Here is a 19,446-nt window from a genome sequence, read left to right as displayed (position 1 = left end):
TACACAGTCTACAGAGAACCCACTTTACCTATAAGGACACACATAGACTGAAAGTGAAGGAATGGAAAATGGTATTCCATGCAAATGGAAACAAAAGAGAGCAAGAGTAGTTATGCTTATATTAGATAAAATAGACTTTAAGTCAAAACTGCAAAAAGAGACAAAGATGGTCTTTATATAATGATAAAGATGTCAACTTAACAAGAGTAAATAATAATTGTAGATATATATGCATATAACACTGGAACACCCAAATATATAAAGCAATTGTTTTTTTAGATCTAAATGGAGAGATAGACTGCAATGCAATAATAGTAGGAACCTTCAACAGCCCACTCTCACTAATGGACAGATCATCGAGACAAAAAATAAACAAAGAAACATCAGATCTAAACCTCACTTTAGACCAAATGGGCCTAATAGAGATTTACAGAACATTCCCCCCAACAGCTGTGGAATACACATTTTTTCCAATAGCATGTGGAGCGTTCTCCAGAATAGATCATGCATTAGGCCACAAAACAACTCTTAGTAAATTTAAGAAGATCACAATAATTTCGAGTATGTTTTCTGACCACAATGTTATAAAACCAAAAATCAATAACAGGAGCAAATTCAGAAAATTCACAAGTAAATGAAAATTAAATAACGTGCTTGTAAACAATCAATGTTTCAGTGGAAAAATTAAAATTTAAAAATTTCTTGAGACAGGGCAGGGCATGGTGGCTCACACCTGTGATACCAGTATTTTAGAAGCCTAAATGAGAGAATTGCTCGAGGCCAAGAATTCAAGACCAACCTGGGCAACATACTGAAACCCCATCTCAACAAAATAAAAATAATAAATAGATAAATAAATAATTTTTGAGACAAACAGAAATGAAAACAACATATCAGAACCTTTGAGATACAGCAAAAGAAGTTGTAAGTGGGAAGTTTACACCGATAAATTCCTACATCAAAAAAGAAGAAAGATCACAAACAACCTAATGATGTACCTTAAGGAACTAAAAAAAAAAACAAGAACAAAATAAACCCCAAATTCATAGAAGAAAGGAAATAATAGACCAGAGCAGAAATTATTGAACTAGAGACTTAAAAATACAAAAGATCAATGGAACCAAGAGTTGGTTTTATAGAAAGATAAAATATACAAACCTTGAGCTAGACCAAGAGAAAAATAGAGAAGACTCAAATAAATAAATTCATAGATGAAAAATGGGGCATAACAACTGATACCACAGAAACACAAAAGATCAATTGCTGGTGAACAATTATACACCAACAAATTGGAGAACATAGATAAATAATGAGATAAGTTTCTGGACACATAGAACCTACCAAGACTGAATAATGAAGAAATAGAAAATCTGAGCAGAATAATAAAAAGTGAGGAAATTGAATAAGTTGTAAAACGTCTTCCATCAGAGAAAAACCCATGAGCTGGATAGCTTTTTTTGTTGCTGAAATCTACCAATCATTTAAGGAGGAACTAATACCAAATTATTGTCAGACTACTCAAGAAAATTGAAGGAGATTACTTAATTCCTAATTCATTCTACAAGGCCAGAATTACCCTGATACCAAAATCAGAGCAAAACACAACACAAAAAGAACACTATATCTCTGATGAACATAGATGCAAAACTCCTCAACAAAATACTTGCAAACTGAATTTAACAGCACATTAAAGAGATTATCTATGATGGTCAAGTGGGATTTATCCCAGTGATGCAAAGATGGTTCAATATACGCAAGTCAATAAATGTGATATATATCACATAAGAATGAAAGACCAAAACCATATGATCATTTCAATAAATGCAGAAAAAGCATTAAATGAAATGAAATATCACTTCTTGATTAAAAAAAATCAACAACTTAGGATTAGAAGGTACATACTATACAAGGTCCATATATGATAAACCCACAGTTAACATGATACTAAATGAGAAAAAGTTGAAAGTTTTTTCTCTAAGTTCTAGAACAAGACAGGGATGCTGATTTTCACCACTTCTATTCAACATAGTATTGGAAGTCTTAGCCATAGCAATTAGTCAAGAGAAGCAAATAAAGGGTATCCAAATTGGAAAATAAGAATTCAAACTGTCCTCATTTGCAGATGACATGACTGTATATGTAGACAACCCTAAAGACTCCACCAAAAACCATTAGCACTCTTAAACAAATTCAGTGAAGTTGTAGGATACAAAATCAACATACCCAAATTAGTAGCATTTCTATATACCAGTAATAAACTATCTTAAAGAGAAATCAAGAAAACAATACCATTCATGTAACTATTAATACAAAAAAGTACTTAGAAATAAATTTTAAAAGAAGGTGAAAGATCTCTACACCGAAAACTATAAAACATAAGTAAAAGAAGTTGAACAGAACACAAATAAATGGAAAGATATCCCATGTTCATGGATTGGAATAGTTAATATTATTAAAATGTCCATACTACCCAAAGGGATCTACAGAGTCAATGTAACTCCTATCAAAATATCAACAACATTCTTCACAGAAATAGAAAAAAAATCTTACAATGTGTATAGAACAACAAAATACACCAAATTTTTCTTTAGCAGAAAAAAAATAAAACAAGCTGGTGGCATCACAACAAAACAGTATATCACAGGGATCACCCTGTCACAACCAAAACACAACACAACCAAAACAGGATGATATAAGCATTAAAAACAGACATACAGACCAATGGAAAGGAATAAAGACCACAGAAATAAATTCATGTAACTGCAGCCAACTGATTTTCAACAAAGATGCCCATACTGGGGAAAAGAGCAGTCTCTTCAATAAGCGGTGCTGGGAAAATTAGATATCCATACACAGAAGATTGAAACTAGATCCCTATCATACACCATGTACAAAAATCACCTCCAAATGGATTAAAGACTTAAACATGAGGCCTGACATTATGAAACTACTGGAAGAAAAACTTGGAGAAACATTTCAGGACAATGGCCTGGGAAATAATTTGCTGGATATGACTCCAAAAATTCTGGCAATAATATAAAAAAATGGACAAAGGGAACAATCAAGAGAGAAGAGATAACCTACAGAATGGGAGAAAAATGTTTGTAAACTATACCTATGACAAGGGGTTAATATCCAGAATATCTAAAAAACTCGAACAACTCAATAGCAAAACAAACAAATAATATGATTTAAAAATGGGCAAAACACCATAATAGACATTTCTCAAAAGGAGGCATACACATGACCAGAAAGCATAGGAAAAGATGTTCAAATTACTAATCATAAGTGAAATGCAAACTAAAACCACAAGATATCACCTCATGCCTGTTAGAATGGCTATTATCGAAAACAAAAGATAACAAGTATTGGAGAGGATATGGAGAAAAGAGAACTCTTGTAACCTTTGGTGGGAATGTAAATTATTATGGCCATTACGGAAAACAGTATGGAGGTTCTTCAAAAATATAAAAATAGAGCTACCATATTAAGACTAGAAGGTACATAGTACACAACAAAGAGATACCTGCATTTCCACGTTCATTGTAGCACTGTTCACAATAGTCAAGATATAAAATCAATTTATGTGTTAATCCATGGATGAATGGATAAAGAAAATGTGGTATATAAACATAATGGAATACTATTCATCTATAAAAAAGAATAAAATCCTGTCGTATAAGACAACATGAAAGAGATTATGTTACTTGAAATAAACCAGACACTGAAAGACAAATGATGTTACTTATAAGTAGAATCTAAAAAGTTCATCTCATAAAAGCAGTGAATAGACCAGTGGTTACCAGCAAGTGGGGAAAGGAGAAAGTGGAGGGGAAATAGGGAGGATCGGTCAATGGGTATAAAGTTACAAATAGATAGGAAGAATGAGTTCTATTGTCTTATTGCACAGTAGAGTGAATATAGTTAACAATAATGTATTGAATATTTCAAAATAGCTAGAAAGAACATTTTGAATGTTCTTACTACAAAAAAATGATAAATGTTTGTGATGATGGATATGCTAATTACCCTGATTTGATAATCACACAATGTATATGTGTATCAAAACATCACATAGTACCAAATATGTACACATATTTATGTACGTATTTGTATCTTATGTACACAAATATGTACAATTATTTTGTGTCAATTGTTTCTTTAAAAAGCACCAAATGTATATTAATTACATTACTAATGATAGGATGTCTTCATGACAGGAATAGAGAAACAAACTACACATGTATGTATAATAGATGGAAATATTTAGAGCTATAAAGGGGCCTAAAGAGTTAAAAGGATACCTAAAAATATATGGAAGAATATACAAAATAAATGAAGGTACACAGTGAACAATAACTTTGTCTTGTCTATCCTATGCCCTCCCTGTACCTCTAAGACTATTCTACACATAGTCCATGCTTGTAAATATTAGTTGAATAAAGAAATAAATGTAGATATATGCATGTGTGTATATATAAGGGTATACACACATACACAGACACACACATAACATAATTCTGAAGTATTTATAGAATTCAGTCATTGATCTGCTTTGAAATACAGGATAAAATAAGTTGTTTCTCTGATTTAGGAGGACAAAGGTAGAAAGGAAATAAAATCTATACTAACAGGTTACCCAAATGTTAGAAATATACAAATGAAATTCTTCATATATGATTTAAAATAATTTTTAATGCTAACTATGTTTATGTAGTTGAATAATTTTTTCCATTAGAAAATAAAAATAAAAACTCATAAATAGCCTGCGGGAGGAAATTGCATATGTGACTAACATAAAAGCATTAGCTTCTGAGAGATAGCTACAGAAAGGCTTTGCTGCTTGCAGGATGTCTAATCAATCAGATATCTCAGGATAGACTTTCCAAGTACCTGCTTGGAAATTTGATTATTTTTTCAGGTCTGTTCCTGTGGTTTTAATTAAGCTAAAGATCATATCAATGTTTATACTTGACATAAATGATTCCATTTCCAACTGCTTTCCAGATTTCTAAATAGCATGTGCATCAAGGATAGAAGACACTAAAGGTTACATATCATTTCACACAGAGACTATCCTTTTCCCATTATACATTCTTGGCATCTTTGTTGAAAATCAACTAACTGTAAATGTGTGGATTTAATTCTAGGCTCTCTATCTTGTTCCATTGGTTCGTATGTCTTTTTATGCCTGTATTATGTTGTTTTGATAAATCAAATCTATTTTAACCGGAAAGTTCAATCCATTTAAATTGATTGTGATTACTAATATATTTGGATTTATTTCACATATCTCATTTTATGTTGCTTTATAATAATAATTTCCCCTTTCTTGCCTTTTCTTGGATTAATGGACTATTTCCCCTCATCCCATTTTTGTTTCCTGTTTCTGCTTTGAAAGTTTATTTTGGTCTTTATAGTAGGTACCCTAGAAATTGTAATATGCATATTTAACTTTTTTGAATTTTAAAGAGAATCAACATTTTTACTCTCCTTCTAAATAATACAAGGATTCCAACCACCATCCCCTTCTACTTACATGGGGTATTGTTGCTTGACATATTTCTGCTGCCTATTTACTTACTATCTCTCAGCTCCAATCCTACTCTGTTCTACTCTGCTCTGTGCTGGGACTCTGCGGAATATCTTTCCCAGACTCCCTTGCCCACTAACTGCCTATTGTGTTTTGTTACTAGGGTTACATAATGGGAGTGAAAGGTGAGAAAAGAGGAAAACAACATTGCTTCCAATTGTTCCAGTTCTGGTCAGTGTTGCCCATCAGTAGCTTCATTGGTCCAGCCTTCAGCTTTTTTCAAAACTCCTCTAGCCTTAGCAATTTCCCTCAGAGCAACTAGCATCCTCCAGTGGCACCCACTGTGAAATGTCCTTGTTGAAGCTTACTGTAAATGCGAAAACAAATGAGTGAAAAATGCAAGAAAGGTTTCAAACCAAATACAATGTTATAATGACACCTTGTGGATATGGGCAGTATACCACTGACCAAGCTTCAGTGAAATGCAACATTAGCTGTAAAATCACCAAACATAAAATACTACACATTTTGAAACTAAAAACTAAAAATAAAAAAAAGCTACTTAATGTAGAAAAAAATGAATAACAAATAAACATAGAGTAATAGAAACTACAAGTTGGTGATCTCTTTTCCATATTCCTGTGAGACACAGCACTAGATCACTCCTTAAAGACTCGTTTTCTTCCATTCAATTTACTGCCATTTTAATTTTCCCGAGTTTAAGGCCTCCTTTTTCTTTTCTTATAAATCAGTGTTTTTCATCCTTTTCTGAGAATTAAATTTTTTAATGTTCATTATATATATTTTTTTCTAGTAGTGTCTTGCAGAAGTCTACATTAAAAATTTCAATTTGTCAAAAAAAAAAAAAAAAAAACCCTGAGGTTTTAGCAACCTATCTTTGTAAATTAACTGTTTTTGTGTGAGGTAATGAAATTAGCCCTGATATAATCACAGTGTATTCATGACTTTTTCTAATTTTTCTAAATTTTGCCTTTTGCTAATAACTTGTTTTTTAATAACAACCTATTACTTTTTATGATGTTTGTGTCAGTTACCACTTAAGCAGAATCTAATCGCTTTCGTATTCTATAATTAAATTAATGTGGACATTTAGTACACTATATAATATTATTAGAAAACAAGAGATTTGGTTTGAGAAGACCTAAATTCAAATCTAACTTGGCTATTTATTAGTGAAACCAGGGGCAAGTTACTTTGACTTAAATTAACCTGATTATAATCATCTGTAAAACAAAGATTATAAACATGAATAACAAATTTTAAAATATCCAGCAGTAAAATGTATATAAAACATTTATATACTGTAAAGCATTACACAGATACAAGTAGTTAAAATAGCATGTATGCATTACATTCAATATTTTATTCATAAGAGTCTACTTTAGAATTTTATGTGAAATTTAAAGTAGCTCATTCCATGCATCTGGCAAACAAAATCATCCCATAATTTCTGAGGATCTGTTTTTTACAAGATACTGTAAGAGACATAGAGGCAAATGTTACCAGTGACTGCCCGAAAGTTTTATAATTTTATTGAGGATTCATGTATACTTGATAAGTTGTTGCAAAAAGAGATTTAATTCATCAAGACGTGATAAGAGCTGTAGTCTTGGGTGACATCACAGAAGAAGTATTCAGCTGGGTATGGAATAGAACACAGATGAGGAAGGACATTTAATGATGAAAATACAGCATGAACAAAGGAATTATTTGGTTTTTCCTTTTCTTAGCACTGTTATAGTATTTCCTGTTAATACAACTCACTTTGTCTCCTAACTATAACTTGTATTGATAGTATTATTATATGTGTATTACATGTGTAGATGTCATGTTTCTCTGTATAAACTATATGTTTACAAAGTATACAGATGTCTAATATAAGTCACTTATTTTACCAGGTGCTGGAGATTTACCATATATGGGTGATTAACCCATTAACAGTGTATGAAAAAGCTGCACCAGAGCATGTACAAAGTACTTCAGGGTCGCAGAGAAGAGGTGATTAATTCTAAGCTTCAGAACAGCGCAAACTAATTTTTGCATTTTGTTCATATCACCCCAGAGCACCAAGCTTTACATTAGCTTTATAATAGGTACTCAAAACGTTAATAAACAGATGAACTAATGAACAAACAAAAAATGCAGACAAGAACAGGCTGACAATCCCATGGGAATTACCCAGACTTGTTGGAAGGAAAAAAGTGGGAAAGTAAATTGGTGCCCAATTTTTGGAGATATGGAATCTTGGATGAAAAAGATTAGACTTGGGCCAGGCACAGTGGCTCATGCCTGTAATCCCAGCATTTGGGAGGGCAGATCACTTGAGGCTAGGAGTTCAAGGCCAGCCTGGACAACATGGCGAAATCCCGTCCCTACTAAAAATACAAAAAAAAAAAAAAAAAAAAATGAGCCAGACATGGTGGCGCGCGCCTGTAATCCCAGCTACCCAGGAAGCTGAAGCATGAGAATTGCTTGAAACCAGGAGGCAGAGGTTGCCGTGAGCCGAGATCACACCGCTGCAATCCAGCCTGGGCGACAGAGCAGAATCCATCTCAAAAAAAAAAAAAAAAAAAAAGGATTAGACTTGAAGTTCTTCAAAGTGTATGGTAAACACAACTCACTTTTATGTACTTCAGGGGAAACAAGAAGTGAAAACTGTACATGATTCCAAAGAACTATCCCTTGTGGGATTTAACTTTTTAACAGCCCAACACTCTGAGCCTGACATGGAAAAGACGGCCAGTGTGTATTTGTTTTAATTAATTAGTGCATGGATGGATAGATGGATGGATGGATGGATGGATGGATGGATGGATGGATGGATGGATGGGAGTAGCTTAGGCAACTAATAATCCCAATTAATAGGTCACTTAACAGAACTTCTGCCTTTGAAAGGAAGACTTCAATTTACCAGGGATGGTGTCACCTGGTTTTTTTTTTTTTTAATTGGTAACAACTGCTTCATTTTGTAAAATATCTAAGTATTTGATTCCATGGAGCAATGTTATTTAAGATTAAATGATTGTACTCTTGAAGAAAGGTAACATTCATATAACCAACACTATGTGCAATTTACATCCTTTTGTTTGTTTGTTTTGTTTTGTTTTGACAGGAAGTTTCGCTCTGTCACCCAGGCTGGAGTGCAATGAGTCAATCTCGGCTCATCGGCTCACTGCAGCCTCTATCTCCCAGGTTCAAGAGATTCTCCTGCCTCAGCCTCCCAAGTAGCTGGAATTACAGGCACCCACCACCACACCTGGCTAATTTTTTGTGTGTTTTTAGTACAGAAAGGGTTCTATGTGATGTATTTTTTATTTTGGCTGCTATTAGTGATACCTTAGGCTCTAATAATGTGTGTACAGTTTGAAGTGGACTAAGTTGTATTCAGTAGAATTAGAATATAAAGTACATTACAACTTCATAGATATTGTTAACCAAAATAGGTAGAACATCTTATTTTTTGAAATTTCCTGATAATATTATAACTGTTAGAGAGGGGGTGCAATTTGTGGTTCATATCTTATGTATTATCTTGACTTCTCTCTTAATAAATGTAAGGTTAGTATTTTTTCACCTGTAAAAATTAATTGTAAGTAGTTTTTCTCCCTATAATTCTTGTAAGGTTTATGGATCTTCTATTCACGTCTCTATATTTTTTAAATTATTTTTTGAAATGCAAGCTAATACTGCTACATTATAGTTTATTTGGGAAGTAAAAACAAAAAAAAACACTCTTAATTGCATGAACTTCACTCAATCATTATCTTTTTGACATATTTCTTTTCAATCTTTTTTCTGCCTATGCATGCATTTTTCACACAAGTGTAATCATAGTATGAATATTATTTTGTATGCTGCTTTTTTTGCTTTTAAGTATTGTAACAAGTTCTTATGGTGCTACTTAGGTTTCATAACCATGTACTAGTGGTTGCCTAATATTCCACTAAATAAATGTACAGTGCATTTAATACCATTTATTTAATCATACTCTTAATAGTTAGCATTAGATTATTTTTGATTTTTGCTTATGTAAACAATACTTTAATGAACGTCTTCCTCTGTGGCTTCTAGGTACGTATGTGATCACCAAACAAGACATGGGGCCTCCCACAAAGTGGACCAGCTAAAAAATATTCTTATGGGATTTATATTTCCATGACATATAATTGAGGCCCAGTTTTCCTTCAAGACCTCAGGGCCCCACTAATTATCTTTTCTTCCCCCACCTCCCAGTATAACTTATACTTATCCCCAGTATAAACTTACAGACAAACCATTACTTCATGAAGTATACTCATTTTCAGCTTTACCAAATATGGGCAAATTGCTTTACAAAGAGGTTGTAACAAACTATATTCTCACCAGTGTCAAACGGAAGTTGTAGGCCAAGTGCAGTGGCTCACGCCTGTAATTCCAGCACTTTAGGAGGCAAGGCAGGCAGATCACCTGAGGCCAGGATTTCTAGATCAGCCTTGTCAACATGGCGAAAGCACATCTCTACCAAAAATACAAAAATTAGCTGGGTGTGATGGTGGGCGCCTGTAATCCCAGCTACTCAGGAGGCTGAAGCAGAAGAATCACTTGAACCCGGGAGGTGGAGGTTGCAGCGAGTCAAGATTATGCCACTGCACTCCAGCCTAGGCGACAGAGTGAGACTCTGTCTCAAAACAAAAATAATAATAATAATTGTTTCCCCACATCTCTCCAACACTTGGTATTACCCATTTGATTATTTTTGACCTATCTGATGGCATAAAATAACTAATTTTTTGAATTAGTGTTTCTTTGATTTCTAATAAGATTAAATATTTTGTATTATTGTCCATTTGTAGTCCCTCTATTGTGAAAATCCCTAGTTAGATGTTGTACTCATTTTATTAGGTTAGTTTCTTCTCTGTCAATGGTTTACACAAGTTTTAAAAAATATATTCTAGACACTATTATATATGTTGAAAATATTTTTTCACAGTTTGGCATTTTTGTTTAATTTTGTTCATGGCATCATCTACCAGAGAAAAGTGCCATCCTTGCACTTGTCACTGTCGTTCTTTAAGTTCACTGCTGGATTTGATTTGCTACTATTTAGGATTTCTGGGTACGTTAAGCTTGATCAATGATTTTCTTTTCTCTTTCTGTTCTAGTCTGGCATTGCTACCAATGTTATGCTACCTTTTTAAAAAAATGAATTGGATCATTTCTCACCATTTTTCCTGTTCTGTAATAGTTTATATAAGACAAGAATAATCTGTCTTTTTGAAGACATAGTAGAACATGTCATTTGGTGGTGGCAGAACTTGGCATTAATTTTTCTTTTGTGTTAATTTATTTGTTCAGATTTTCTACTTCTTCTTGGGACTATTTTGCCAAAATATTTTTCAGAAAAATTATGTGCATATTCTGTTTTTTCCAATGTGTTGGTAACATAGTGTGCTAGTCAGCATAGCCATAATAATGCTGTGTAGTAAACCACCCCAAACTAAGTATAAAGCAACATTTATTCCAGTTTATACATCTGTAAGACAGTTGGGCTTTGGCGGATCGGATCTATGCTGGGCTTGGCTGGGCTTGGCTGGCCTTGGTTCCACATCTGAAAATGTCAGATCCTTTTTGGATCAATTGGCTACCAGAGACACATTCTTCTCCTGGGGATGGAAGAAGTACAAGAGGGATAAGTGGACATATGTGATACCCTTAAGGCCTAGATTCAGAACTGGCACTGGCACTTCTGCCAAAGTAAATCACACAGTCCAGCACAATATTATGAATGGAGGTGGATATATTTTACCATTACCAGGAGGAATTGCGAATTTACATAACAAAGGACATGAATACAGGGAGATGCAAAGTATTGTGAACAATTACGCATTCTGCCATAGATTGTATTGTATTAAAACATACTTTTAAATTTACTGTGTCCTTTTCCTTTTGCTCTCTTCTCCTTCATATATCAGGCCAAAGATGTTTCTATAGTATTAGACATCTTAAAAGAACTAGCTTTGAATTTTGTTAATAAGCTCAAATTGATTTTTTTGTTTTATTTTTCTTCAATATTTATTTCTCAAATCCCTTCATTCTACTTTATTTGGGTTTATTATGTTGTTTATTTCCCCAGCTTCTTTGCTCATTTATACTCAATCTTTCTTTGCTAGAGCAAACATTTAAGAAAAATATAGGCTGGGCATGGTGGCTCATGGCTAATCCCAGCACTTTGGGAGGCTGAGGCGGGTGGGTCACCGGAGGTCAGGAGCTCTTGACCAGCCTGGCCAATATGGTGAAACCCTGTCTCTACTAAAAATACAAAAATTAACTGAGCGTGGTGGCACGTGCCTATAATCCCAGCTACCCAGGAGGCTGAGGCAGGAGAATCGCTTGAACCTGGGAGGCGGAGTTTGCACTGAGCCAAGATTGCATCTTTACAGTCCAGCTTGGGCGACAAAAGCGAAACTCCGTCTCAAAAAAAAAAAAAAAAAGAAAAAAGAAAAATGTAAATTTTCCACTGAACACTACTTTGGATGATTAATAATGTACTACTTTCATTATCTTATTTCCAATTTTTTTTCAAGACAGAGTCTTGCTGTCGCCAAGGCTAGAGTACAGTGGCACTATCTCGGCTCACTGCAACCTCTGCCTCTCGGATTCAAGCAATTCTCTCTGCCTCAGCCTTCCAAGTAGCTGGGATTACAGGTGCCCACCATCATGCCTGGTTAATTTTTGTATATTTAGTAGAGACGGGGTTTCACCATGTTGGCCAGGCTGGTCTCGAACTCCTAACTTCAGGTAATCTGCCTACATTGGCCTCCCAAACTGCTGGGATTAAAGGCGTGAGCCACCACACCTGGTCTATTTCCAAATTTTTATAGTTTAGTTTTATAGGCCTTGTTTAACGAAAAAGTTATTTAAACCCATATTTTAACATTTTCAGCTATCTGTAGAACACTTTAAAATTTTTTTTTGTTGAATCTTTTTCAGTTCTATTGTGGAATTCAACAGGTATGTTCAGTGTTCAGTGAACAAGGTGTGTCATGTACGTATGTATTTGTTTTCCAGGATTTGTGAGCAACTTCCTTTGTGGTCTATTACATGGTAAATTTTCAGAGATATTCTATATGAAAGAACGTGCATTTCCTTTTTGGTTGGGTGCACAGTTGTATGCGTATGTTAGATCCTACTTGCTAATTGTGCTATATTAGTCTTCTGTATTCTTGTTTTCTGCCTAATTGATCTTTTGGTATCTAAAAGAGATGTGTAAAAGTCCTCCAGAAAGATTGTAGATTAATCCATTTTTCCTCATATTTCTATCACTTTTCATAAAGTTTGAGACTGTGCTATTTTGGCATAAAAGCTAATGACTATTATGACTTCTTGATAATCTGTTTATTTTCAATATGAAATTTCTTTTATTTTGGGAAATAAGTGCCCATAAGCATTGAATTGAAAGCTCTGCAGGAAGGGTAGGGAGCACTAGGAAATGACAAATAGTGGCCTGGAAAATCAAGTGGAAGAAACCTTTCAAAGCACAGAGAAAAAAAGATGCAATTCATGAGGAAAAAATATTAGAGAATTAGAAGACAAACACATATATCCATACACGATAAACCCCAAAGTAACATTCTAGAAATTCCTGAACTCCAAGGATAAAGAGAAAACCTTATGAGCATTCAGACAAAAGACACAATTTGCCTATTAGTGAGATTGGCAACAAGTGTCTCATCTGCAATAGTAGAAGATAGAGTGGCATCCACAGATGAGCAAGAGAAAAGACCTGTAGCCCAACTCTCCTATAACAACCATAGATTTGTGCATATGCATGAATTCAGAAAATATATCTGATTTAAGGAAAAACTCAAGAAAAGATATCCAACAATAAATGAATGTGAACAGAGTACTCAAAATAAGGGTCTATGAAGAAAAGAGGAGAAGAGTAATGAGCAATTAACTTTGAAAAGTAAATGTATTTACATTTAAATTGATAATGACAAACTGTCTGGGGCTATGGAGAATAAGTAAAAATAAGGAACATCGCAATAGAAGAGACATAATGCCAGAGATACTCTAATAACAGTCCTAAACAAAAAGAACTAAAGGTGCTTAGCAATTCCTAGGAGCAGGGGGTTGAGGATAAGAACAAAGTAAAAACATTTCAAAGGCAATGAGAGGAGGCTAGGAGAGGAGAGGAGCAGGGATGAAGAAATATTTTAAAGATCTTATCTTATTGGGAATAAAGAGTGAGGAAATTAAGCATTCAGAAGGGAGAAAGATTGGGCACCATATTTTTGAGAAACAGAGGTCTAAGTGCTAAAAATTGAAAAATATTGTGGGACTTACAAATTAATTAGCAAGAAAGAAATTGTGAACAACCAAGTAAAAATGAATAATATAGTACTGTGGAAGGAATATCAAGAATATGGTCAGTATATAATACTCCTACGAGTACGTTCATGAAAGACTCACCTTCAGATTCAGCTGAAACAAAACCCAGGTACATACTGTCTACAAGAAGAACAGGAAAAAGAGCAAAGGAAGGCCAAGAAATGAAAGAATGGACCAAAAAATGCCAGAAAATACAAATGTTATCAAAACAAGAGAAGGAAAAATTAAATCTGAAAAAAGTGACAGAGTGGTGGCAATATGCATGTAGGATAAATACAGATAAGCTTTTACAAATTGTAAGAACAAATTTCTCATAGAAAAATGTTAAAGAGCAGAAGCAGAAAATTTCACAGAGAAGAAAATGGAAATAGTCTACAATCATTAAACAATGTACAGGCTCCACTAGTTGGGAAAATACAAATTAAACCACCAATGAGACATGAATTTACTCTCATCAGACTGGCAAACATTAAATGGAGCAATAACACTTATTTCTATCGGGGATACATAGAAAGGGGTTTTGTGTCATTGTCGTTTTAACAATAATATAAATAGAAATGGAAACCACTATAGTTTTTCCAGAAAACTGTGTGGCAAATCTGTTAGAATTAGAAATATTCTTTGACCCAGTAATCCTGTTTCTTGGAACATCTCCCACAGGAAAAAGAACTCTAGAAGGTAAGGATATATGTGCAGAGATGTTTATTCCAATAGAGCATGTTGAGGCAAAGAAAGATAATAGGGAAATGGCATATAAAATACAGTATATTCACTATATATAACAGGCAATATTACACCGTTATTAACAAGAACAAATTATAGCTGTATTATTTTGTTGAAGATATTTCCAGGTAGTATTGTTGGCTGAGAAAGGCAAAAACAGAAAAGTGCACAAAATACCATCCCATTAAAACACATGCACATTCAATCCTATAAATGTGTCTTAAGAATATCATCGTATGATATGGCTATATATGTATGGGAGAATTGGAAGTAGCAAACAGAAAAAGAATTTCAAGTCTAGAGAGTTAGACTGGACACAGGTCACAAGGACGGCTTCCCAGAACCTACAAGAAAGATGCACCTAGAATCATCGGTCAGGTCATTTGCAATGTTAAGAAAAAGGGGCAGGGGTGAGGGGTGAAGAAGGGGGATCTCCAAAAAGGGACAGTCTGGAAGCAATTCCTCAGCATTTTAAGTCCTCTGCTATAAAAACAGGAGAATCAACTTGCTTTTGCTTTACAACAGCAACAGAAAATAAGATTATGAATTTCAAATGTGTGAGTTGTGAGGGCACTTACCTCTAGGGCAGATGCCTGATTTTGGTGATTTTGCCCCCTTGAGTGATTTTGCCCCCCCAGGGACATTTGACACTATCTGGAGACACTTTTGATAGTGACAACTGGGAGTGGACCCACCTAGTGGGTAGAGGTCACAAATGATGCAATCTTCCTACAATGCACATAACAGTCCCCACAACAAAGAATGTCAATAGTTCCTAGGTTGAGAAATGTTGCTAGGGTGACCAACCATCCTGGTTTGCCCAGGACTGCAGAGTTTCCTGGGACTGGAGACTTTCAGCACAAAAACCAGGACAGTTCTGGGTTATTGCAAATAAAAATGATAAACAAAAAAATATGGTTGTGGACAGAGCACTTTCTGGCACTCAAGATACTGATCTAGGCTGTGCACGGTGGCTCACACCTGTAATCCCAGCACTTTGGGAGGCCGAGGTGGGTGGATCACTTGAGGTTAGGAGTTCAAGACCAGCCTTAGGAGTTCAAGACCAGCCTGCCCAACATGGTGAAACCCTGTCTCTACTAAAAATACAAAAATTACCCAGGCATGGTGGCTGGTGCCTGTAATCCCAGCAACTCTGGAGGCTGAGGCAGGAGCATCGCTTGAACCCGGGAGGTGGAGGTAGCAATGAGCCAAGTTCGTACCACTGCACTCCAGCCTGGGCAACAGAGCGAGACTCCGTCTCTAAAAAAAAAAATACTGATCTAAATAGAACTCTTATCTCTATGTCTACAGATGTCTTCACAGCTCCTTTAGAAATTAAACTGGTGCCACCTATTTTAAAAGAGTTTACCCCATTTGGAGAGAACTTTCCTTAAATTAAAACTGCAGTTATGATAGTTTCTTCATAATTATTTACTTGGTAAATAAGCATAAAGACTAATCCATAAAGAAATATGCATTTGCCAAAATCAAACTGTATATTTAAAGGAGGATTGCTGAATATAAATTATACCTCAATAAACCTGACTTTAAATGTTCTCCCTATATTTTTAAAATAAGTAATCCCAATTCATAAATTAATCCTAGGTCTAATGTAGGTTTATTTTTTAAATAGACATATAGTTTAGATCACTTACCAGAATACCTAAAGAATAAAAATTATGCTTTAAAAGTTGTATCTGTTTTTCAGGGAAAGTGTTTCTGTGCTGCAGGTAACAAAACACTGAGCTAGATTAATAAGGAGATCTACGTCTCAGAAGTATTGCAACTTCAGTGCAGCAAGTCAGTGGTCTGGTTTGTTCCTGTGAATCTCTTGTGTGTTCATCCTCGGACTGGTAAGAAAATACATGTAACGGTTCCAGGCAATCATTTCTAAAATCACTTTCTTATGAGCAAGCAAAGATTTCCTAGCCCCCAACTGACTTCCCTTCCAATTTTACTCGTCAGAATTAGGCCAGATGCTCATTCTTTTTTGTTATTGTTATTTAATGTGGTAAAAACACATAACATAACTTTATCTTCTTAACAATTTTTTTTTCTGAGACAGTCTTGCTCTGCTGCCCAGGCTGAAGCGCAGTGGCGAGATCATAGCTTACAGTAACCTGGAACTACTGGGCTCAAGGGATCCTCCCAACTCAGCCTCTCAAGTAGCTGGGACTACAGGCGTTTGCCACCATGCCTGGCTATTTTTTATTTATATATTTATTTATTTTTAGTAAAAATGAAGTCTTGCTGTGTTGCCCAGGTTGGTCTCCAACTCCTGGGCTCAAGCGATCCTCCCACCTTGGCCCCCCAAAGTGCTGGATTACAGGGGTGAGCCACTGTGCCTGGCCCTCTTAACATTTTTTAGTGTACAGTTCAGTAATGTTGTGATATGCACATTGTTGTACAACGGATCTCTAGAACGTTTTCCGCACGCATGACTGAAACTCTATACCCATTGAACAACATGGTGTTTTCCCCTCCCCCAGCCCCTGGTAACCATTATTCTACTTTCATTTCCATGAGTTTTATTACTTCAGATACCTCACATAAGTAGGATCATCTAGCACCCATCTTTTTCTGATTGGCTCATTTCACTTACCATAAGGTCCTCAAGGTTCATCCATGCTGTAGCATATGACAGGAATTCTTTCTTTTTTAGGCTAAGATTCCATTGTATGTATATACCACATTTCTTTATCTATTCATTCACTGATGGACATTTGAATCACCTCTACATCTTGGCTGTTGTGAATAATGCTGCATGAACATAGGAGAGCAGATATCTTTTCAAGATCCTGCTTTCAATTCTTTTGGATATATATGCAGTAGGAGATGACTGGATCATATGGGAATTCTAATTGCAGTTTTTTTAGGAACCTCCATACTATTTTCCATAGTGGCTGCCCATTTTATAATCCCATCAACAGTGTGCAGGTGTTTCCTTACCAACACTTATTTTCTGTTTTTTTGAAAGTAGCCATCCTAACATCATACGGGGTCTGAAATGATATCTCATTGTGCTATTGTGGTTTTGATTTGCATTTCCCTTGATGATTAGTGATGTTGAGCATCTTTTCACATGTGTGGTGGCCATCTTCATTGGAGAAATGTCTATTTAAATTCTGTGTCCATTTTTAGATTGGGGTGTTTTTGTTATCAAGTTGTAGGAATTCTTTATATATTCTGGATATTACTTTCATCTCTGGTATATGGTTTCATATTTTCTCCCATTCTGAGTAGGTTGCCTTTTCAATCTGTTTGTTGATTGTCATGCTCGTTATTAAGTTAATCACCAGCAACGGGGATGGGATTATTAGTTCTGGGAAAAAAAATCTTCTGGGTGGAATGGTTGTCAGGAAATCCATCACTTTGGCAATAACGGACCCATGTGCCTTAATTTGGTATTTCACCTCAATTTTATATTGAGAGAAGAGTTCAGGTTGTTTCAAAGAGACGTATGTAGACAGCTGTGATGTGAATGACAGAACATTGGACAGAGCTTCAGACACCTGTGTTCTTTTTAGGACTCTTAGAAACTGCTAGCAGTGTGACCTTGTTCAATTATTTAACCTTTTGAAACTTTATCTGTAAAATCAAATAGCAGTTTACTAATTCCAGCCTAAATCATGATGGTTTTTAAAAGTAGGGTGTATGAACCTTTCTAAAGTGTGGCATCAAACCGCTGGTTAGGTAGTTGTGGTCAGGTATGAATATGCGTGGATATAGGTTTGTAGGCGAGGGTGGGTATGTATGGGTGAAGGTGTGCATGTATATGCAGGATTGTAGAAGGGGGTAGGTGAGGGTGGGTAGGGCAGAGGTGTCTCTGTGTGCGTGCATGTGTGTGGGACTATAGATAAAGGTTGGTATGGGCGTGTGAGGGTAAGGCTCAGTGTGGGAATGCAGAAGTATAAGAAGAATGAGTACTGAGGGCAGGTTGTACACGTGAATGTGGGTGGATACCAGATTGTAGGTGATGGTGGATGCAAGTAGGGCAAGAGGGAAAGGGTGTGTGTGTGTGTGTGTGTGTGTGTGTGTGTGCGTGTGTGTGTGTTTTGGGTTATAAGTGAGAGGGTGGTGGGGCAAAGCACAGAGTAGGCCAATGACAGGATTATTCTATCAAAAACATTCTCCATTTTACTGATTTATATTTTACACGTAGGATATAAACCCACTGTTAGAGATGTTGCAAATATTTTTTCTAGTCTGTCATTTATCTTTTAATTGTGTTAAGGGCAGAACTGTGTTAATGTAACAAATCTTATTTATTTGTTTCAATTAATAGTACTCCTCTTTTAATGTTCAATGTAAAAAATACTACAAATTACACATACGGAATAATAAAGAAAAATTGCACATAAACTCAAAACCCAGTGATAATCTTAACAACTCAGTCTACAATTCAAGTCTATAGAGGAAGATACATGCAATGATGTCATTGCACATAACTGTGTACCTCTCTATGTATGGACCTAAATGCTCTAATATTCTACTGATGATAGGATAAATCAGTTACTAACTTCCTGGGAGGCGATTTGCAATAGCTATCCAGAATTTCTCAAAAACCTTAATCTCAAAAACAGTAAATCTAGTTTTAAGAATATGTCCAAGAAAGCAATTCAAGATGTGAGCAAAATTTAAACTATGATCTTTTTATTTCAGCATTGTGTGTAATAATAAAAATTTAGTTAAAATCTAAATAATTTGGTATTGATTAACTAAAGTGTAAAAGGCTCATATGATTGAATACTCTGCAGCCATAAAAATAGTATGGACAAAGAATATATAATGAAATTAAA

Source organism: Homo sapiens, chromosome 7 (genome assembly GCF_000001405.40).
Source record: "Homo sapiens chromosome 7, GRCh38.p14 Primary Assembly".
NCBI lineage: Eukaryota > Metazoa > Chordata > Mammalia > Primates > Hominidae > Homo > Homo sapiens.
This window is presented reverse-complemented; position numbering follows the sequence as displayed.